At 49.6% G+C, this 22,900-nt stretch overlaps 1 protein-coding gene across 7 annotated transcripts in view; it reads right to left on the bottom strand.

The window, feature by feature from the left end:
* The window catches only part of IQSEC3 (IQ motif and Sec7 domain ArfGEF 3), a 111,689-nt gene that overhangs the window by 72,994 nt on the left and 15,795 nt on the right, over positions 1 to 22,900 (bottom strand). For all 7 annotated transcript variants that reach the window (NM_001170738.2, XM_011520958.3, XM_011520960.2 and 4 more), the window contains one exon: positions 6,248 to 6,316. In NM_001170738.2, the coding sequence (NP_001164209.1) occupies positions 6,248 to 6,316 (69 nt within the window). Of the gene's footprint in view, positions 1 to 6,247; positions 6,317 to 22,900 lie in introns of those variants that run through there.

Here is a 22,900-nt window from a genome sequence, read left to right as displayed (position 1 = left end):
CACACCTGCTCTCAAAGCCCAATCCACAGGAGCAAGCCCCCTGTCCCCAGGATGCTCCCCTCTGTGCAGGTGCCACTCTGTCCCACCCCAGAGCCCAGGCTTCAAACCCCAGGATTCCCGCCCCCACCCTGCCCCTGCCAGCGGGCAAGATGCTCCCGCCACTGCAGGGGGCTTGTGGGGATTTTCACCCCATCCCAACCTCTCCAAAGACCTCTCCCAACCAACCAGTGAACCATGAAGGAGACAAAGAACACTTCCTTTAACCTCCCCTGCCGCCATCGCTTTCCTGGGGCGGGAGGCAGAGACCCAGAGCTTGGGGCCAGGCAGGCAGGGTGGGCCTGCCCCATGGGGCCTGTGGGGGAAGCCGAGGGCTTTTCTGCCCTTTTCTAGGGAAAGAGGACGCGGCTGTACCGCCCGACCGACCCACGCTGCCGCCCTAAGCCACCAGTGCGTGGTGCCGGTTTCTCAGCAGCCTGGATGCGACTCCCGGAGCAGGCACGTGAGGCCGCGGCGCCCCAGCCCAGCTGTTTGAAGACGTAACTGTATCGACTGAGAATTTAATTGCTCCGTAATCGCTGGGTAAACACTGGCTGGTCCATTGCTCATGTTTCAGGCCCCATCACAGCCGATGGAAAGAGGCAGGAGAGGCAGAAATGCCCCAGCTATGCCAATGCAGGGCTATCCCCGCAGCCGTTCTCGGAAGCGCGCCCCGTCCTCCAGGGTACCCCGCGTGGCGGCCTCGGCAGAGCCCCTGCCTTGCTGCTGCCTAGCGGCAACGACGCCAGCCACGTGGGCCACCAGGGCGGGCGGCCCGGGAGGAAGTGGTTAGGGTAGGAGGCCTCTAAGGGGGCGCAGTACGCCTCGCCAAGTGGGAAATGCAGACTACAAAATCTTTTTTTTTTAAAATGGGCGTGGGAAGGACGTAAAACCCAACGCAGAGAAAAATAAAACACTGGGAGGCTGCACACTAAAATATTAACATCAGTTAATTCTACATGATGAAGTCCCATTTATATTTTCTTCTTTATATTTTGTATTTTCCACATTTCCAACAACTAGCGTGTATGACTTATAATCAGAGGAAATAGATGTTATTTAAGATCCAGTGAAATGGATGGGAGGATTTCTCTTGAGCGCTTAAAAAAAATTCTAGCAGCAGCTCTTTGAAAAGACGTTGTGTGTAGGAGTTGGACCTGGGTTCACTGTCCAGCTCCAGAAATAATTAGCAGTGGTCCCTCGGCCAAGATACCTAACTTCTCTCCATCCTGGATTCCTTATCTGTAAATGGGAATAACATCTATCTCACAGAATTACGTGAGATAAAATATCAAGAGTGCCCAGCACGTTGTCCCTGGCACGTTCAATAAATAATGTGTTCACTATGTCTTCCATCTTGGAGTAAGGATGGGGTGGTTGAGAAGGAAGAAGCAAGGACCAGCAGTGAGTCAGTTCAGTTAGCAGAGGCTCAGAGTGCCCCTTAGACCCCTACCCAGATCCCTTCTTGCTCTGGAGGCCTAGGGGTTGTTCTGTTTCCTGCCTAGCACTTCCCCCTCCTGAGCCCCGCCTCCCCTCCCGAGCCCCCGCCTCCCCTCCCGAGCCGCCTCCCCTCATGAACTCCACCTCTCCCTCCTGAGTCCTGCCTCCCCACCTGAGTCCCACGTCTCCTGCCTGAGCCCCGCCTCCCCTCCTGAGCCCCACCTCCCCCCAGCCCTGCCTCCCCCCGAACTCCACCTCTCCCTCCTGAGTCCCACCTCCCCTCCTGAGCCCCCACCTACCCCTGAGCCCTGCCTCCCCACCGAACTCCACCTCTCCCTCCTGAGCCCCGCCTCCCCCCTGAACTCCACCTCTCCCTCCTGAGCCCCACCTCCCCTCCTGAGCCCCCACCTCCCCCTGAGCCCTGCCTCCCCACCGAACTCCACCTCTCCCTCCTGAGTCCCACCTCCCCTCCTGAGCCCCCACCTACCCCCCGAGCCCCGCCTCCCCTCCTGAGCCCCGCCTCTCCTGCCTGAGCCCCGCCTCCCCTCCTGAGCCAACCTTCTCCATCTTGAGCCCCACTTCGTCTTCTGAGCCCTGCCTCCCCATCCTGAACTCCACCTCCCCTCCTAAGCCCACCTCCTTCTCCTGAGCCCCACCCTCTCCCACAGCCGCCTCCTCCCATTACTCTAATAGAGGCCCACCTTCCTCATCTTGGCCCCATTATCACCCTTGAGACAAATGGGCTCTATGCTGGGAGGCAGCTGGCCAGCTACCGGGTCATTGTCACTGAGAGCCTGAAAGGGAAGGGAGGCGGCAGGATCGAAAGTAGGGCTGCAATTACTGGCATATTCAGCGCCCCAGAATAAAGCCCTGTCATTAGCTGGCAGCAGGGAGGCGGTCGGTAGGGGCAACGACCAGGGGGCGATCTTTTCTGGGGAGAAAGAGCCTGGCACGCAGTTGCTGCTTCCTGGCTGGCTGCTGGGAGGAGGCACCACCCCCAGCTCCCACCTGAGGGCCTAACTACCCTGGCAGACATACATTGCCTTCCTAGGGGGGTTTGGGGAACCAGGGCACAGCAGAACCCATAATAACTCTATCTGGTTATCCAGCTTCGCAGGGCTTTCAGGGCTTTGCCAGCCCCGTAGCTGCTCCACTGTACTCCAGATCGCTGACGCCCTCCCTTCAGCCTCCCTTTGCAGACACCCACGCTTCCAGATGTGCTCAATTTCAGGTGTTCCCACTCCTGGGAGAATCACTCCCTGTCCGGCTCCCAGCCCCAAGACAGAGTTCCCCTGACACCAGCCCCCAGCTGCTCCTCTGCAGGTGGCTGGGGAAGGCTGTCCTGGCCTCGGTAGGGCTGAGGCTTCTCTGCCTCTTCGGGAGGGGTGAGGCTCTGTTCTGGCCCTGGGTCTTTCTGGGAGGGAGCAGACTTTCCTCTGGGCTGAGCAGCATCTCCACATCTCTGATCAGATAGATGAGCAGCCACTGCAGTGCTGCAGTGAAGGCACTTGCTCAGGAAAGGGACCCTTGCTCAGCCCCGGAGCTGGAGTGGGGGCCGGCCTTAGCCAGACTGCAGAGGAGGATGGCCAGGGAGATCCTGTGGCTGGCTGAGTCCACACAACAAAGGTCCTGACACCTGATTCACTGACTTTGGATTCCTTACTGGGGTCTCCTATGGAGGCCAACTGCTGATCCCAGAAATCCTCAGGAGGCCATGATTCCTACTGGCTGAGCTAGCGGGAAACCAGACTGACTGACAGGGGAGGAGCCAGACTGATGGGGGAGGAGCCAGACTGACGGGGGAGGAGCCAGACTGACGGGGAGGAGCCAGACTGATGGGGGAGGAGCCAGACTGACGGGGGAGGAGCCAGACTGATGGGGGAGGAGCCAGACTGATGGGGGAGGAGCCTGGCTTGTCTCAGAGCTCCAGAGTCCATACCAGATCTCCTCAGAGGGCTGTGTGACCTACCCGCCTGTGCCAGCCCCACAGGCTGGCCTCTGACTGTGACACATTCCACTAGAGGAGCTTACTGGGAAGTTGTGGCTATGCTCTGGAGGTGGGACAGCTGGGCTAGGGGAAGGGATGAGGTTTGGTGAAGGAATCGTTGGTAGGGTTAGGAGCAGGGATGCTGAGAGTCTGATCAGGGAAAACTTATCTTAGCATAGAATTCCCCCAAGAAGCCAAGAGCAAACACGTACACTGTTGGGCTGCCCAGAAAACATCCAGAGGGTCTCCTCTCGGAGAAGCCAGGAAAGCCACATCAGACAGACAGACAGACAGACAAAAACAGGCTCTAGGAAACTACAAATCAGACAGATAGACAGGACAACTTGGAGTAACTGGGAACTAGAGACAGCAGCTGAAGCCCTGGACCATCTCAGGGGGCAAGTCCTCCCTGTCCCCAGCCAGGGGGAGGGCCCCCGTAAGCAGGGTGTATAGGCGCCTCCATGAACCAACATTCAAGAGAATATCCCAACTCCCACACTCCCTCCCCGGAGCACCTCCTGTCCCCAACCTCAAAGCCCGCACCTCCCAGGGGAAGGTGAACAACAAGCTGAAGAACAAACCTCTTGGAAACTAAGGTCATGGGTTTCCTATCATCCACCTCAAACCCTGGAAAATAACCCTATTCCCTTGGAGCTCCAGCCCCTTGAGAGGGCAGCACCCCTCCCCTGCCCCACATCTACCTACATTCTGGCGTGCTGCTGGGGCCGCCTCTCTCCCACTCCTTCCCACCTGGAGCTAGGGCTGCAGGTGGGCACGACACAGGCAGCAGGGGAGTGCTGGTGTGTGAGCGAGCTTGCAGGCTGAGAGTGGATGGGAGGAGAGACCACAGGAAGCCCAAGGGATAGTCTCTGGTGCCCGCCCCTGCCAGGCCTGGGCTTCTCAAGGGTGTGTTATCCATCCTCACTGAGGCCTGGTGCTTGGTTAGTATCAATAAAATGCTCACTGAATTGAGTTGAATTGATGGAGCTGGAGGCAGGCCAGACAGCTTTTCTCTCTTCTACCAAGGAAGGCAGTTTCTAGGAAGAAGACTCGGGCCCTGTGTCTGAACAGTGAGGGCTTATGGGGAGGGGCCAGGGAACTCAGGGTCTTCCTCTACAACATCCTGGTGTCTTCCACATCTCCACGCTCTCCTCTTTCCTTCTCCCTCCACCGTTTCATTCTCCCATTTCTCTTCTTCCTTCTAATTTGCAGGTGAGCAGTTTTTCTTTTGAGGGTATCCTGATGTCCCACTGCATGGGGAACTTCTCAAGGGTCCAAGTTGGCCTTATGTGCTTTTATGTCCCCAGGCCTGGCCCAAAACTTGTCACAGAGGACACCGAAAACATCAGCCTCCCATCTCCAACATGGTTGGCTTCAGTAACTCCCATCCCTCCCTCAGCCCTGGATTTAAGGGCCTCTTGGGTGTGTGGCCTCTCCGAGTCCTCCTCAGAGCCCCGCCTCTTTCTCTGACCTCTGCTGGCTCCCCTATGAGGCAAAATGAACAGCAATGCCTTTCACGGGGTGGCTGTCTGTGCCCCAAGATCACTAGCCACCACTTCTGATCACTGTCCAGTTATTTTCCAGAGGATAAAGGGGGAAAGATCACAGAATCATTGGATCTTAAACCTGAAAATGGTGAGCATGAGGAGTCCGGCGCCCTAAGCTTCCTGTGGCTGCACTGGTCCTTGCTCTGTGACTGTGGACAAGTCTCTGGGTCCTCCGACCCTTACTCTCCTCTCATCCTTCAGGGACAAGAAGACCTGCCCAGTCTGGCCCCACTGAGCAGCTCAGAGACTCGACGGGATGATAGGTGAATGCCACTTTTGAGACAGACCAAGCCCTTCACTATCCAGATGAGGAAACTGAGGCCCAGGGCAGTGGAGTAACTTGCCCAAATTCACTCCATAACAGGAGACTGAGAGACTGGGCAAATTTCAGGCCAGAATCCAAGTGGAGTAAAGAACAAGTCAAGAAAAGAGAAACGTGCAGAATGGAGACAGACAAACTGGTGGAAAAGAGAAAAGAGTGAGAGAGAGATTGACAGAACACAGATCGGGGGGCGGGTGGGGAGCACGACGTGGGCACAGAAGAGGAGAAACGAGAAACACAAGGGCAGAGAGACAGAGGCAGATGCGGAGGGAGAAGGCTGATCACGGGACGGAGACGGAACTCCAGGAAGCGGGACAGGGAGGCAGAGGGCAGGAGGATAACCCAGGAAAAAACAGAGGAGAAAGCTCAGGACTGTGGCTCTGAAACCTGACTCCTCAACACTCCCGCTCCAGTCCGAGGCTGTCAACTAAAGCAGCCAGGGCTGAGAGAGCCTTAACATTAAAGACAGGCACCTCGGCTGACTGGAAGAAGAGAAACCAGAAAGAAAAGTATAAATCCTTGATGTAAGAGGAAGGCTGGGCACTGGGCATGGGCTGAGCGCACACCACTGTGTGCCAGGCACCCTACCGTGTGAGAGACACGAATATCCCCAATCAAATCAACTTTCCCGGCTGCTTACAAAAGTTAGATTTTACATGGGCCGTTTAGAAGGAAGGAGCCTACGTGTGGGGTGTGATCGACAGGGCATAATCACCTTAAAAGTTGGGAACGGCTCATTTGGGGTCCAGAGGGAGCAGAGAGAAACTGAAGTCTGAGGAAGGAGGTGAAAGCAAACAAATTACCCCACATGAGACTCAAGAGGAGGAGGCCCAATAGCTAGTGCAGTGGTACGTGCTTTGTTGTAACAGGAAGGAAGGTGGGGATGCGGAAGGGAGGAAGGGCCACAGTTCCCACCTTTGGGAGGCCAGGTCGGAGCAGGCGTCGGCGGCTGGGCAGCAGAACTGGTGCAGCACGGTCTCATTCCTGCGGGCAGAGCAGAGGGAGATCAGAGCGCCTGAGGCAGGCTGGGTCCCCGCCCTGCCTGACACTAAAGCATTTCTGCCCTGAAATCTTGCTGCTCCTACCCCCGCCCTTTTGAGCCCCTGTGTAAAAATCAGGCAGCCAATCACTGCTCTGGGCAAGAGTGCAGCATCGATGCTCTGTCCATCAGAGGCCTCTTAAATCACCCATTAGGCTCAATTCAGATGCTACCTCCTGTGTGCAGCCTCCTTGACCTCCCTGGGAACTCACCCTTCCTACTTCTGCACGCCCTCCCCGCAGCAGGCTCTTTCGCGTGCATGTACCAAATGTCCTGCTCTGTTATCGTAGTTTGTTCTTTATGACCCTGTTCTCCACGATGGTCCTGCAAGGTAGAACTAAGTCTATTTGTCTAGGATGCACAGAATTGCGTGCAGTGAATACTTTTAAGCTGATCATATACAAAGATACAAAACATTCATACAGGGACTTCAGTGTTGCCAGCTAAAAATCCAAGGAGTGGTGCTTGATGAGGCATTTGGTGTCGATGAAAAAGCCAACGCAGAAGGCAGGGATCTGGGTTCTAGTCCCAGCTCTACAGTTCGCCAGCTGTGTCATACGAGGCTAACCTTTTCTGGGCTTCAGCTGACTTACTAATGAAATAAGGGAGTTGAACTAGCGAAGTGGTTCTCAGCCCTAGCTGCATATTAGAATCATGAGGAAATTTTTAAAACGACTCATGCCTAGACCCTTCCCTTCCCCCCAGGACTCTGATTTATGTGGTCTGGCATCAGTCCAGGGCACCGGGACTTTTTAATAAACTCCCAGGTGATTCTAAAGGCAGCCAGGATTGAGAGGCACTAGACTAGAGGATTTCCTAGGTCCCTTCCACCTCTAAAATGCTGTGATTCCAATATCCGCTTTGAGCCAACCTGGGATTCAATATTGAAATTACTTTTGGATAAAGATACACCGACCCATTGCCTTCTCTTCCTTAATAAGCAGTTGCCGTCCTAGGCATTACTGAGTCAGAGAATGTCAAACCTGGAAGGGCCCCCAGAGATCATCTGAAAGGGATTTTCAAAATTCCTTCAGCTTCAGAACACTTTGTCCAAACCAAATCTTTACTGGAAGCCTATTTTGTAAAACAACAAAAGTAGAATATCTCCATGGCTGGGGGAAGGGGCATCTGTACCACTTCCCCAGACCTCCTAGCCCCGAATTTGGTAGCCACCTCCCAGGCACGTGTTGGGGGCCCACAGGGTCTGAGAGTGTAGACAGGAAGTGCTGAATTTGGCTATCTGCATGGAAGAAAGAACACTGTAGCGTATCTTAACTTTTGTTTGTTATTTTAGAGACAGGGCTTTGCTGTGTTGCCCAGGCTGGAGTGCAGTGGTGTGATCATAGCTCACTGTAACCTTGGCCTTCTGGGCTCAAGCAATCCTCCTGTCTCAGCTACAGGCATGTGCCACCAGGCTCAGCTAATTTAAAAAAATTTCATAGAGATAGAGGTCTCACTATGTTGCCCAGCCTGGTCTCGAACTCCTGGCCTCAGGCAATCCTCCCGTCTTGGCCTCCTAAAGCACTGGGATTACAGGCATGAGCCATCACACCTGTCTGAGCCAACCTTAATTTGACAAAAAGTAAATTCCAGAAAGGTTATATGTTTAAATGAGAGAAATTAAAAGGAAAAAATCGAAGGAAGCTTAGGAATATAGCTTATGTGTTGAGGAGATTTTAAAAACAAAATGGAGAACTGAAAAGCCATTAAAAAAAGATAAACATGTCTGACTACATAAAGTGAAGAAAAAAATCTGTATGAAAACAAATACCCTAATAAGTCAAAAGACACATGATAGACTAGGAAAGTATATGTGCAAAATGTATGACAGAAGGCAAGTTAATACTCTGCACTGAGCTCCAGCACATTCATGGTGCAAAGACAAACCCAGCAGAAAAAACAGCCAAAGCATAGGAATAGCAGTTGACAGAACGAGAACCCTAAAGAGCCAACAAATACGCTTCACATCTGTGCTATTCTGCCTCACAAACTCAAATTAAGAACAAATTCATAGCCAATGGAAAGATGCTTACTAGTAAATAGGAAAATGCCAATTAAAGTCACGCTGAGATGCCATTTCTCATCCATCAGACTGGTTGGTACCCATTAAAAAGACTGCTAACTATGAGTGCTGGTGAGGCTGTGGAGAGAGGGCTGCCCTGACCCATTATCTGTGTAGATGTGAATTATGAAGCGTTTATGGAAATGTAAATGAAAGATAAAATTCTAAGCCCCCCAGTTGACTGAATGGACCTCCTTCTCAGCCAAGGGCATTCCAAAGAAACCTAGTTCAGGCCATGATGGGAAGTAGGGGTAGGACATGCCTCCATATCCCTCCTCCCTTAGGAATTCAGGCACAGCTGACCAGCATTAATATTTAACAAAAAACATTAAAACAGTCTTAACAGAGCTCTTAAGACTGAAAAAACAGACTCTTTGTAGCAATAAGACAAATTTGTAGCAAATTCCAACCTGACTCTAGTATAGCATCACATGACAGGTAGCAGGCCCTGAAAGAAACTGAACTATTTTACAGCAAAATACATTTCTTTTATATATATTGGCCCTGCAAATATGTTTCAGAAATGGCCCTGGAAAGCTGTCTCTTGTGGGGAAAATCTACATTCTGTAGAGAATCCTCTTCCTATTCCAGGTCTTTTCCCTGATCCAGGAGAAAATCAGTTAAGAGTCTCGCACCTTTTTAAGTCTGATAAGAAAAACTTATAATCTATTCTCTCTGAAGCCTGTACCTGGAGGCTTCATCTGCATAATAAGAACCTTGGTCTTTACACCGTCTCATTTTAACCCAGACACTCCCTTCTACTGATTCCACGTCTTTTGATAATAATGACTCTTCAACCAATTGTCAATCAGAAAATCTTTGAATCCACCTGTGACCGCCATATTTCAAATTGTCCCACCCTTCCAGATTGAACCAATGTGCACCTTGGTTCAGTCTCACTTTCTTACTTACATAAGTCACTGATGTCTCATGTCCCCCTAAAACGTATAAAACAAAGCTGCAGCCCAACCACCTTGGGTGCGTGTTCTTAGGACCTCTTAAGACTGTGCCTCAGGCCATGGTCACTCCTATTTGGCTCAGAATAAATCTCTTCAAATATTTTACAGAGTTTGACTCTTTTCTTCAACAGAAGAATTGTTTTTAGTGTGGTGGTGGAGGGGGGAAATGCAAACAGCCCAAGTCCTCATCAATCAGGAAATGATTGAATAAACTGTAATACCTTCAACCATACCATGGAATTACGCCTACCTATTCAAAAAGAACTAGTTAGCAGTCTATCTCTCAGTCTGGATGGATTTCCACAACATATTGTTAAATGAGAAAAGCAAGTTGCAGAGAAATATATAAAGAGTGATCCCAGTTTTATAAAACAAAAAATGACTCCTCTCACCAAATGCAAATTCTTTGCATGTGTACTCTATTTATATATGAATGCAAACCCAAGTATTAACATTGGCTACCTCAGCAGATGAGAGCAGGGAAAAAACATGGAGGTAGGAAAAAGAGAAGGAAAAGCAATGCTTAGGGTAAAATGTTGACTGACAATGTTAAATATCAATTCCCATGTGTGATATTACCGTAAATCCATTAAAACTGAATATGAACCTAGATAAGAGCTGGAAGATGTCAGAAACCAACACAAATATTGATGCCATTTCACAGACTAGATCATGGGCAATGTTTATCTTGGACTTTTGTTCATTAATACATTTTTTGTTACAGATTATATATAATCTATAGGTCATAGACTAATAATTGATGCAACAAACATGAATTTTTTAAAGGGCAATAAAGAAAATAATTAAATCTGAGCCCTCATTTTACAAATGAGAAAACTGAGGCTGAGTGGAGAAGTCATTTACCTACAGTGGTTCCCCGGCCAAAATTCCAGGTCAGTCTTCCAGCCCGAGGTTCATTCCCGGGGCAAATCAAAGACTTTAGAGAACTGTCTGAAACCTAAACATCTTTTGATGGCACCCAAGGCTTCCTGGCCTGAAGAAAAGGGGAAAATGGAATGAGGAGATGGAGCAGGAGCAAGAAGGCAAGAGCCCAGACAATGCAGGGTAGGTGGACCTAGGTGTGCAGGACAGTGGAGAGCCTACACCCCCAGTTCCAGGCCTCCAGCTGCTCCGGGGTCCCAGGACAGGTTTGGAATTCCTGACAAAAGCCATCAAGAGCATACGCAAAGAAGCATTGCTTGTTCACTACCCACAGCGCTGGCATTTCAGGAAGGAAAGTTCACCTACATGGTCATAGGCTGGCACAGTGGTGCCTGGGGGGACTCTGTTCTGATCCTGCCCCTGTTTCCCAGAGGCTTCCTCCCAAGGTTAGGAGCCACTCGTCTGTCCAGACACTGAGGGCAGGCACCTGCTGGTCCTCCCAGGTCCCCAGACTCAGCTGCAGTGACACATGTGATGGGTAACTGAATGCCCCCAAGACCTGCAGCACCTTGGGCTTGGGCCGGCAGTGCTGTTGGGGCTTCTGCTGCCACTGGGGGACAGTTCAGCCAAGAGGGGAGCTTGTCTTCCAGTTCTGCCTCTGCGCTCCTCCATCCACCTCCTGCTCCTTGGGTCTCCTCAGCCTAGGCCAGAACCCTTCTTGTCTTCTTTCAGGGTTTAGCTCATGCTGAATTGTAAGTCCTGCCTTGCCTGCCTTTGACCAGCCTGGCCACCCACCCTGCCCAAGGTCATGGTCTAAGTTTCCTGACCTGGGCATGTCTTAGCTTAAGTTTCCTAAGGTCACACAGCTAGTTAGTAGCAGAGCCTAAACCCCAGGCAGGCTCCTGTCAAGGATCATGCCCACAACTCTTCTTCAAAGGGTTTTTGGCAAGCGGGCATTCATGTGTTCATTTACCAAGACCAGGCAGGGAGTCCCTAGTGCCTACATCAGTGCCTGGTATAGTGATGGCACTCAATGCTTGAGTATGCAAAGAAGCATCACTGCAGTCCCTGCCTCAGGGAGTCCACCAGCTAGGAGAATGCTTTAATCTGTCTGTGTTGCTATAAAAGAATATCTGAGGCTGAGTAACTTACAAAGAAAAGAGGTTTATTTGGCTCACGGTTCTGCAGGATGAACAAGAGGCATGGCTGCAGCATCTGCTTCTGGTGAGGCCTCAGGCTGCTTCCATTCATAGTGGAAGGGGAAGGGCAGCCAGTGTGTGCAGAGATGACAGAGCAAGAGAAGAAGCAAAAGAGAGAGGGGAGGGAGGTGCCAGCTCTCAGGGGAACTAACAGAGTGAGAAGTCACTCACCCCCAACTCCCCAGAGAGGGTGTTAATCTATTCGTGAGGAAGCCACTCCCATAACCCAGATACCTCGAGTTAGGCCCCACCTCCAACTCTGGGACTGAATTTCCACGTGAGGTTTGGAGGGGACAAACATTCAAAACATAGCAGAAAACATTCACATCAAGAAAGGCCCAAGTTCCTGTTTGGTTGTAGCTGGAAAGGAGCCATACTGAGACCGTGGGCAGAGGGATCATTGCCTAGGTCATCCTCTGACGCTGCCTCCAAGCTTCTTCCTGAATCCTTAGTCTTCAGGCCACAGCCTTCCCCTCTGTCTCTGCCTTGCTCTCTTCCCACCCTCCCTGGAACACTGCCACCATAGCAGATGGACACTGGACACCAGGGGCTGGCAAGGTGAGCAGGGGACAGGAAGGGACGGGATCTCTTGGTGGCACCAACCTGAGGTTGTTGCCAGGATGTCCCATCAGAATCTGTCCACCTGGGAGGCAGGGGACCATGGGCACAACCTGCTTCTGTCCACAGACCCCAGAGTAAGGCTTTCTTACCTCAGGAGGGCTGGCTTGAGGTCCTGCCACCACCCTCAAACCCCAGTGAAGCTTTGGGGGGGTCCATGCCAGGTGCACCAGTTCTCCACAAGTGGATCACAATCCCTGTGTGCATTCATTTAAGTCCTTATCTCTCAAAGCCTCAGTTTTCTTGCCAGTAAAGCTAGGATAATAGTAGCTCCTGCACCTTGCAGGGCTTTTAGGAGGGCAAATACAACAGCGAATGGCAAGGCACATTATAAAGGCAAAGGCCACACAAAAGTACCTTTTATTCATTCACCTTCCTGACCCAGCCCTTTTATTTCATCTGTGAAAATGACAGAAAGAAAGGAAGTATTTCTTCCTCAGATAATGCTTCTTGCATTCTTGAAATCAACCAGTGCTGCATTTTGTGAGCACCAAGGGGCAGAAAATGTCTCCTCAATACAGCAAGAACCAGCTGTTCTCAGAACCTGCTTCCCAGGGGCTGCACACTCAACACGCTCAGCTCTCTGTACCTGAATCGTCACACCAGGGCAGATGGTGGCATGCAGCATCTCTGCATCCCTATTTCATTGTGGTGGAAACTGAGGCCTACAGCAGAGTGAGACAGGGTCCCAGCAGGTCGAGCAAATCCTGAGATGCGGGGCCTTTAGGGAGGGGGCCCGGGACCCGGATCTCGGCTGCTCCCCATCGCTGCTGGAGAAGTAAAGAAAGGAGAGAGGTCCCCGTAGGCCCGAGTGCAATCACCACACTTGGGGTGGGGGCAGCAGGGGAACCACTCAAGTGCCTTAGGCCTTTGGAACCATACAGCCCCCAATCTACCTCACAGCACGAGCCTGGGAGGGGCATTCTCAGAGCCCCTGTGACACACAAGTCTGGGGGTACCATTCACATTGTAGTCATGGGAACCACAGCCCAAGGCTGTGGCCCTGCGAGTTCTGCGGCTGGAGGGGCCGAAGGAAACTGGCAATGGAAGGACCTCTATGAAAAAGGAACATCGTCATTCTCGGTCTCTGGCTTTTTCTCTTCCAAAAGCCAAGAACTGAGACTGGGCCATGTTCCTTGAGGGAAGCTTACAGAATCCCAGCCAAAGACTTCTTCCAGGGCCAATGGCTTGAAGCAGAATTCAGTCCCCTGTGGCTTCAGCAGTCCCAAATCCCCCATATTGATGAGTTCTGATGGGGCAGCTGGACTGTTGGATGGATGTGGTAAAACCTAAACATGAGGTAGTCTGTGGGCCCAGTATGAGGTTTTTATGTGTTGGGGATCCCTAGTCGTGCTGTGAGGCTGGGCTGGGCAGGAGCTTGCCGCACTCAGAATGAGACTGGACCAGGGTAGGAGGCTGTGTTCCTTGGCCATCAAGGAGCAGCTGGCTCTGGGAATTCCAAGGCATCTCCCAAGCGAGATGGGAGTCAATGGTCTGCACTGGAGGCAGCGCAGACCTGAAGGAAGAGGGGAAGCTGGGGGTCAGTCAGGAAAGAACCCTGCTTCTTTCTTTTCTTTCTTTCTTTTTTTTGAGACAGGGTCTCACTCCATCGCCCAGCCTGGAGTGCAGTGGCACGATCTCAGCTCACTGCAACCTCCAACCTCCAACCTCCAACCTCCCAGGCTCAAGCAATGCTCCCAAGTAGTTGGGACCACAGGCATGTGCCACCACACCCAGATACTTTCTTTTTGACTTTTTTGTAGAGACAGAGTTTCATCATGCTGCCCAGGCTGGTCTCGAACTCCTCGGCTCCAGTGATCCATCCACCTTGGCCTCCCAAAGTGCTGGGATTACAGGCATGAACAACCGCGCTGGGCCTCCCTGTTTCTTAAAGAACCAGGAAGATGGGGGAGTAGCGCTGCCAGAGGAGCAACAGTCAGGGCCAGCTGGCCAGATGGGGAAGGAGCATCAAGTGCAGCAAGGAGCTCAGGAAAGCCGCATCCAGAGCCAGGCTCACAGGATTACAGGAGGCTGTGCGCTGTAACTTCCCACATCTATATTTAGTGTCAGACTCAGGGTTCCACTGCATGGCCATAAAAATAGTTGAGTGGTTTAGAAGAACTGATGAAGAGTGCAGTACCACAGTGGGAGAAGCAGGAGAGGGCTTGAGCGGGAGGGAGGTGCTCCCAGCAGGAGAATAAAGGAGGCCAAGCCGGAAGTCCCAGGGGGCAACTCTGAAGGAGGATCCCCCTCCCTTCACCAAGCTGAGGATAGCAGACTGAATCCCCAGCCTTCAGAAGGAAACAGCCAGGGAACCTCTCTAAAGGAGCTGCCTTGAGCTCCAGGAGAAGGGAGAAATCATAAAATTGCTTCTGGTCACCTGCCCCATCCCCACCCATCTTGGTACCACCATCACTACTGCTGGTGGAGCCTGCAGACTGGATTTTTTTCCACTTTCTCTTAATTTTCTCACCTCCTCCAAAGAGCCTTTTCTATTTAAACTTAATAAATAGGAAGAAAAGAAACCCTTATTTTTTCAGAAACCTCTGATTCCTGGGGTGAGGAGGAGGAGGGGATAGCCAAAACAACTTTGAAAAACAAGAACAAGTTGTAGGACTTCACTGGATGGTTTCAAGACTGAAAATGAAGCTACCATAATTAAGATGGTGCAGTGGTGGCATAAGAATAGACACACAGATTGAACAAAAAGAGAAGCCAGAAATAGATCCATACATATATCATAAATTGACCCTTGGTAAAAGTACCAAGGCATTCAAAAAGGAATGATAAACTTTTTAACAGATAGTGCTGAAACAACTGGATATCCAGATGCAAAAAAATAGACTTCAATCCATGCCTTATGCCATACATAAAAATTTAAAAAATAGATCATAGACTTAAAATAACAGATAAAACCATAACACATCTCAAAGAAAATATAGAAGATAATATGTGGCTTTAGGATATGCAAAGATTTCATAGATAGGACCAGAAAGCACAAGCCACGAAACAAAAAAATTGCTAAGTTAGCCTTCATTGAAATGAAAAAGGTACATCAATTTTTCTCTTTGAAGAACTGCTACAACTCAATAATAAAAAGACAAACAACCTGATAGGAAAATGTACAAGAGATTTGAACAGACACTTCTCCAAAGGAAATATACTAAGGACAAACAAGCACACGACAAGATCTTCAACATCACTAGTCATTAGGGAATTGCCAATTAAAACCACAAGCAGATACTATTACACACCCACTAGAATGAATAAAATCTGTGTCTGACAAAACCGAGTGTTGACAAGGGTGCGGAGCACCTGGAACTCTCATACACCTCTGAAAGGAATGCAAAATAGTGCCACACTTTGGAAAACAGTCTTGCAGTTTCTTCTAAAGTTAAACATACATTTATCATATACCCTTCCAATTGCATTCCTAGGTATTTACCCAAGATAAACAAAAAGTTATACTGATACGAAACTATTCATGTATGTAAAAAACCACCCAGAAACAATGTAAATGTCCACTAACTGGCAAATGGATAAATTGTGGTATGTCCATTCAATGTAATACTATTCAGCAATAAAAAGGAACATGCTTACTGATACATCAGCCAACATGGATGAATTTCATAAACGTTGTATTAAATAAAGGAAGGTGTCCACAAAAGACTCCATATTGTATGATTCCACTTATATAATATTCTAGAAAAGACACAACTATATTGACAGAGGTAAGTTTCAGCAATGCAGGAAGGAAGGGATGAACTGTAAGAGGGAACAAAGGGTCACTTGGCTGATGAAAATGTTTGTATCTTGACTGAGATAGTTGTTACACAAGTGTAATGTTTCAAAACTCATCAAGTTATACATGTAAAACGGCTGAATTTTATTGTATCTAATTTTAGCTTAATCCAACTGATTTTTAAAAAGAAAAAAGACCAAAATCTTTTCCTCTTCCTTCTCATTTCTTGCTATTTTATCAAGAGGCTTTAGAATAATTTCCTTTCTAATTTCCCTCCACCCATTGCCCCCAGATCACCTAATGATTAACCCCCTTCCAAGCAGTAGAAAAAGACATTATATTTTTCTTTCCTTTCAACTGCTAGATTGTATTTTCAGAGACTAGATGGTTCATCACTGAGCCAAAGGAGTCCAGGGGGCCAGAAACTGGGACAATGAGAAAATTGGGGGTGGGGATGGCTGAATGGGGGAAATTTGGGGCCTGGGCCTAAGGACTGAGAGTCCCTAGAAGGTTTGATAGAAACAGCTCTGGGCTGGAGATGCAGACCCAGCCCCTACTCTATGCTCACCTTTGGGAGGGTCAGGTCATGGTAAACAAGGCTCCTACACCTGCCTTATTTATTTTACTGAACTGTGGGGGATTCATATTCAAGCAAGACTTGAATATGAAACTACCTTGAGAGAAACATAATAAACCCTGCACAAATGCAAAACCTTATAATGAATATTACTGATATTATTAGTCTCTGCTACTGAGAAACTCAGCAACCACAATTCTCTTTCAAACAGAGCCCTACCAGGATGCCATCTTGACTTCCTTCTTTCTGGTCCCTATTTTCTTCTGCAGGCCTGGGGGCTGTGGAGGGAGAGGTAGATTTCCTTTGCTCACTGGTGCAATCTACCACTGTACAGTCTTCCACAGAGAGCTTTGGGAAGATCTTAATAAGGCAAGCAGTTACAGCTGTTCCAGAAGCCGGGGCAAAAGGCTGTAGAAAACATTGGCCTGTTGGTATCCAGACCCAGGTTGGCCAACCAGGTTCAGTGTTCTGCCCCAAGCCTGCCAGAGGATGGAATCTCCACAGGGACCCCCTGCTCTCCAGGACTTGCTTCTCTTTGATTCTCTGCTCACTTTTCTTTGGGGGAGCTTTGACGTTCTTCTAGTCCATGCCTCTGCCATCAAGGAAAAGAAGGATAACAGAGTCCTAGGAAAACAGTGACCTGCCCCTTTATTATTCAGTGAGGTTTTTCCTAAAAACACACTGTACGTTTTTCAGATGTTCATAAAAGAGTATGAGTTTGGTCTTGCAGTAACTCAGTGTTTTTTCTGTTGTACTCCGAAGAGGCCCAGTGCCCCACCAGCTGCTGCAGGGACCTTATTAAGGTTAAGAGGAGAATGGAGAAGGCAGAGCACAGAACCTTCCATTCAACTAATGAAGCTCTGATTTGGTTAGTTTTATGTCTTAGGAATATCTGTTAGGTTTAATTTTGAAAAAAATAAGTTTCCTTTTTTAAGAAACAGCTGAGAAAACATGCTTCTAACCCGAAGCCCTCCTGCTGCTTCGGGAAGCCAGCTCTGCCGTGTCCAGTCATGCTGGCCTTAGAGAGGTGCTGCGTGCCCCTCCCTGCAAGGGCCCGCCATAGTCCTCCTTTCGGTGAAGCCTGCGGGAATCCTTCCTGAGGAATCCTACCTAACCGCACGTATACAACAGAACTTTTTTAAAGGACTGTATAAGGATGAAATGAGTTAAAACACTTTGAAAGCCCTTACAACAGAACACGGCTAATACATGGTAGCTGTTATGAATGTGTCCTACTTCTGATACCTTTGATCTCAAGGAAGAGCTGTTTGCCTTCCCTCCAAGCCCTATCGCTCTTTACCCCCTTTCCTCCCCCACTGGTCTTCAGTGTCATTATTTTCATAGGCCCTTTTTCTTCAGCATATAAACATGCTCAAATCTCTCATCCTAAAACCATGATTATTCCCTACAACTCTGCTCCCCTGGTTACAACTCTTTCCTTCTGCAGTCAGTCTTCCAAAAAGAGTTGTCTGCTTGTGTGAGCTTCCTTTCACCTTGATCTCTTGCCAACTTGCTGTCATCTGGGTTCTTCCCCCAGAGGCCTAGCAGAATTTAATCTAGGGAGGTCCCTAGTGATCTCTTAGTTGCCAAATCTAAGAACTTCTCAGCGTCTGACTTCACTTTTCTGTAGCATACGTTGGCCCAAATCTCCCTATTTGAAACACTCCCCTCCCATGACTTTCAGAGAAGTGTTCTGCCCTGGTTTTCCTAGTACTTTTTTTGCATGGTGATGAGAGGAAATCAGCCTTCATGCTGGGAGGAAGCCCAAATGACTCCATGGAGAGGCGTGCATGGAAAGGAACAAACAGCCATCCCCAGCTTGACAGCCGCTTGATGACCATCCTGATAATGAACCTCCATCCTCCAAGCCCCTCTAGCAGATATGATGCAGAACAGAAAAAAGCTGTCCCCAATAAGCTCTGCCAAAACTACAGATTTCTGAGCAAAACAGAGATCTGTTTTGTTATTTTGAGTTTTGAGGTAGCTCTCACAGCATGTTGTTGGTTATTTGCCTCTGGTCCTAGGAGTGCACCTGCATATAGCTGAGAGGGAGCCACAGAACACTTTGGGGAAGGAATTTCATGGAGGCCCTTTCTAGAACCACAGGAGAGAGCACAATTTCACGGAGAGCTGTAGGCCTTCCCAGATCTAAGGATCTGGGAAGACCTGCATAGCATCCTTGCCCTTCCAAAAGATGGGTGTGGAATCACAGGCAGATTATCTGATCTTCTTCAGCCTCGGTCTCCTGAACTGTAAAAGGGAGGTCATACAAGAAATGACCTCATCAGGTTGTTGTGAAGGTCAAACAAGATACCTGTGTTGTGCTTAGTACAATACCTAGCACAGAGCAGGCACACACACACAAAAATGCTTGTACTAGGCCGTGCGCTGATATGGGGTAGGCAGGAGCTGTCTGGAGTTCAAAGTCCGTCTTTGCTATTTTCCTGTTAATATCTTTGCCTGACTGAGCCTCAGTTTCCTTACTCATAAAATAGGATATGGACAGCATCTATCTCGAAGGCTTATTGTGATGAGCAAATGAGCTAACAGATCTAAAATGCTTAGATCTGAGCCTGGTCCAATGAGTAAGCCCTCACTGTCCCAGACCCGATTACCGCACACTCCAAAGCCTCACAGTATTATGGGGACAGCAAAGCCTGTACCCATACCACCATGTTACAATTAGGAAATAGGCTAAAGGTGATGGCCATCTCAGCCAGTGATCCCAGGCTTCTCAGAAATCTAGACATCCAGAATCTGCCCAGCCTTCAGAGTCCAGTGCCAAAGACATTCCTCCCACAAAGCCTTCCCTTGTTTGTTTTGTGCTCACCCCCAACCCTGCTGGCCTCTGCCCCACCTAGGCCGGAAGCGCCCACCTCTGAACTCCTTCAGCAGCTTCCCTGAGACATTAGTGGAATGCAACATCTATTTTTTCCACTCTGTATCACTGATGTTTATATACATGTCATATCTCCCTATACTAGAATGAGTTTTCCAGAGCCATGCCTGTGACCAATTCATCTCTACATCCAGTACAGAACATAGCCTGGCACATGGCTTAGAGCAGAAATGGTTTGTTGACTGAATGTGTGAATAAATCCCGATTCCTAAGGGTGCTGGAGAGAAATGGGGGATTAAGTGTGCACATATATGAAACATGCACATGCCTGGAAACAAAGGCACAACACATGCTAGAGACACAGACCTACTCATCAGTATCAACACACGCTCAAGGCAGTACAACATCTCTATAACTAATCCTCATTTTACAGATGAGGAGGCTCAGAGAGTCTAAGATATTTGCTCAGTATCACAGCCTTGGCATCTACCTGGCAGTCTTGGGGGAGCTTAACTCAGAACAGGAAACCCAGGCTGTAACTTGAGCATGCCAGGAGGCCCTAGCTTCCTTTTCGGCCATGCTCACCCCGCCACTCAGCCCAGCCCCAGAACAGTGAGAGCTTGCTGTCAGTCCTCGAGCTCCATGCCACTGTCTCTCTTCCTGCCCAGCAGGGTGGCACTGTCAGAAATGCCAGAGCCATTTAGTTGCCCAGCTTGAGGCCTAGTTCTTTGAACTCCAGCAGACTTTGCAGGGAGCCAAGAGGGCTCCCAGTGCCAGGCGTGGCAGCACAGCATGAATTGCAGAGCTGGGCCCGTGGCTGCATCCTGCCAGCTTCCCTCACAAGAGATCTCTGTATTACCTGGCAGATGGGTGCCTGGCAGCTAGGCAAAGCCAGCTTGAAAGGACGGATCAAAGCCATTGGGCCTCTGCCAGGCTCTGAGGCTGCTCCTCACCAAGTCCTGCCTCACAGCGCCAGGGCAGCATGCCTCCACAGCGTTCCTAACCCACCTTTCGTCAGCTGTGGGCACGCAGTGTTTCTCCAGGAATGGCGAAGGCAAGTCCTGACCAATAGCAACACTGCATTTATGCATGTTTCTGATTTAAAAAACCTTTCTGAACATCCTAAGAGTAATCCCATGGAAAAATATGATACTAATGATAATTAATGTCATTATTATTATTAATGCCATTTGAGGCTAACGGAGGTTTGACGACCTCCCGAGGACCCACAGCTCTGACTTTTTTTGCTGCACGCTGCTTCTGGCATCCATTCTCACTGTACCCCCTGACCCCAGGCATCTGCAGAGGAGGTGGCCTCTGGGCTGTGAGTGGAAGAGCCTTGATCTTGCCCTTCATAGCACAGTCAGACTCTTGAAGTTTGACAGAAACATCAAAACCTACCCAGCCAATCCCCAATTCCAGAGCTTCAACTGACCTTCTAGCATAGACTGCTCAGGTACCTCAATCACATGCCCACAAAAACAGCTGTTTGCTTCTGGTGAATCTGCTAAACCCAAAGGCTCAACATACTCATACACACCTGCCTGGGTGCACAAAGATGTGTACACACAAACATACACCCGTACCTCTTGGTGGACACACATATACATGCAGGCTTCCCTTCATGCACTCATTCAGAGCTCTTACAACAATGCACATAGGTCCTAAACGCCCCAAACCTATGCACACACCATCCTGCACATGTGTGCACACTCCTGGATTTGTAAATGCATACATACACACATACATATTCTCACATACAACCCTGCCCGTGCACACATGTGCAGGCATACACGCACACATGCAGAGCTGAGAACAAGGATGTTTTGTCCACTATGTGAACCCTCCTGACCATATGGGCCACGCAGGGATGTGATGTCCCATGGGGACCTGTAAACCATTCATCTTGTGGCTGCATGTGGGTGGTACTCTGCCAGTCATCAAGCCCAGTCCTGCCAGGCTGGGCACTGAGATGAGTGGGCCACGGGCCAAATTCAGAGCTGCAGCAACGTGAACAACTGTCATATGGGCACGATGCCACCAGCCTTTCTGTTCCTGAACAATGGTCTCTGTCCCAGATTAGGCTTTGCCTGGGGGAAGCACTTCCCACACCACAGGGGACTCCTCTTACAGTGAGGACAGCTATGCCAGGGTGTAAGAGGCTCACACACGAATCCTGAAGATGTCACTTTAGCTGTGTGACCCTGGGTGGATCACCTTAACCTCTTTGAGCCTCAGTTTGCCTCTGTGAAGTAGGGACTGTAATATCTTCCCGTCAGTACCATGTGGATAAATGAGATAACAAATGCACAGCAATGTCGAGCACACAGCAGAAATCAAGTAAGTGGAGGTTGAAAGGAAGGTTGGATAAATGAGTGGACACCAAACAAGGGTGCACGGCGCTCCGGGGCTCCCTGCTGAACTGCTCTCCCTTCTCTGCCTTTGAACCCCTAAGCTCTGTTTTCTAGTGTGGATCACATCATTCCACTTCTCAACCCACCTCCTCCCCCGCCCGCCTTCCCATCAACCTCTCTCCCCACAAACTCCCTCAGAAGGCCCACTGTGATGCCATCTCCTCTCCCTGTCTCTTTCCTCCCTCTCTTGCTCCCCTCTGGCCCCCCTTCCCTTCTTCTGTTCTTTGAACACATGCCTTTCCTTCAGCCCCAGGGCCTTTACACGGAACGCTTTCCCCTGAGGTCTTCACGTGCTCTGTTTTATTTCATCTCTCTGCTCAGATGCCACCCCCTAAGTGAGGACTTCTCTTCAGAGCTATCCTCCCCCTAGCCACCCCCGTACTTTTCTTCTAGTCCTTGGGAATTTCTGTTATACGTGTGTGAATTTTCTTGTTAAATATCTGCCTTCTCCTCTGGAATGGGAGCTCCATGACGGCAGGGGCTTTGTTCGACTTGTTCACCGCGAATCCCTGTGCCCCTGACATGCCGTAGGTGCTCAACAAATACTTGTGAAATGAATGTATACATATGATTCTGGCCCTTGAGGAACCTAAACAGAATTTCCCATCCCTAAATGACAATGCCACGCTCAGCTGCCCTCCTCTCCTTTCTCCTGTACAGCCCAGCTCATCACATTTTAATTTTTTCCCTAGCCTCAGCCAGCCTAATTACCCACAGCACCGGTGTGAACCCTGGTGTATGCGACGATAAGTGAGTGTGCCCAGGCTGATATATCCTGATGGTTTTCCAGCAGGGAACTGCGTCAGAACCTCCTGAGAGCCTCACTGCAAGCATTTGTGGCTGTCTTCTTTCCCCTATCCCCTGCTGAACAACAGTCTCCAGTGCTGAGGCTGGGCCACGTGGATTTGGAAAAAACTTCTCCTGGAGATTTGGATGCATGTTACTGTAGTTGTCTGCGGGGTGGCCATGGAGAGTAGAGGCTAGGAGCACTGCCTGCCAGGGTCACACTGGCTGAGTGTGAATCTGCACAAGCAACCTCACGTTGCTTGGAATACAGAATGGAGCCTAGCTCGGGAAGGTGTTATTAGGACACATCGAGAGAAAGTTTGTAAAGTGCTTAACACCGTGCCTCACTCATAGTAAGTGCATGGTCAATGTCAGCTTTCATTAAATGATGACTTTCCTCCAGGAGTGATGTAGTCATTCTCAGTTTCCCTACAGGAGTTAGGACAGGGCC

Source organism: Homo sapiens, chromosome 12, assembly GCF_000001405.40.
Source record: "Homo sapiens chromosome 12, GRCh38.p14 Primary Assembly".
NCBI classification, from domain to species: domain Eukaryota; kingdom Metazoa; phylum Chordata; class Mammalia; order Primates; family Hominidae; genus Homo; species Homo sapiens.
This window is presented reverse-complemented; position numbering and strand designations above follow the sequence as displayed.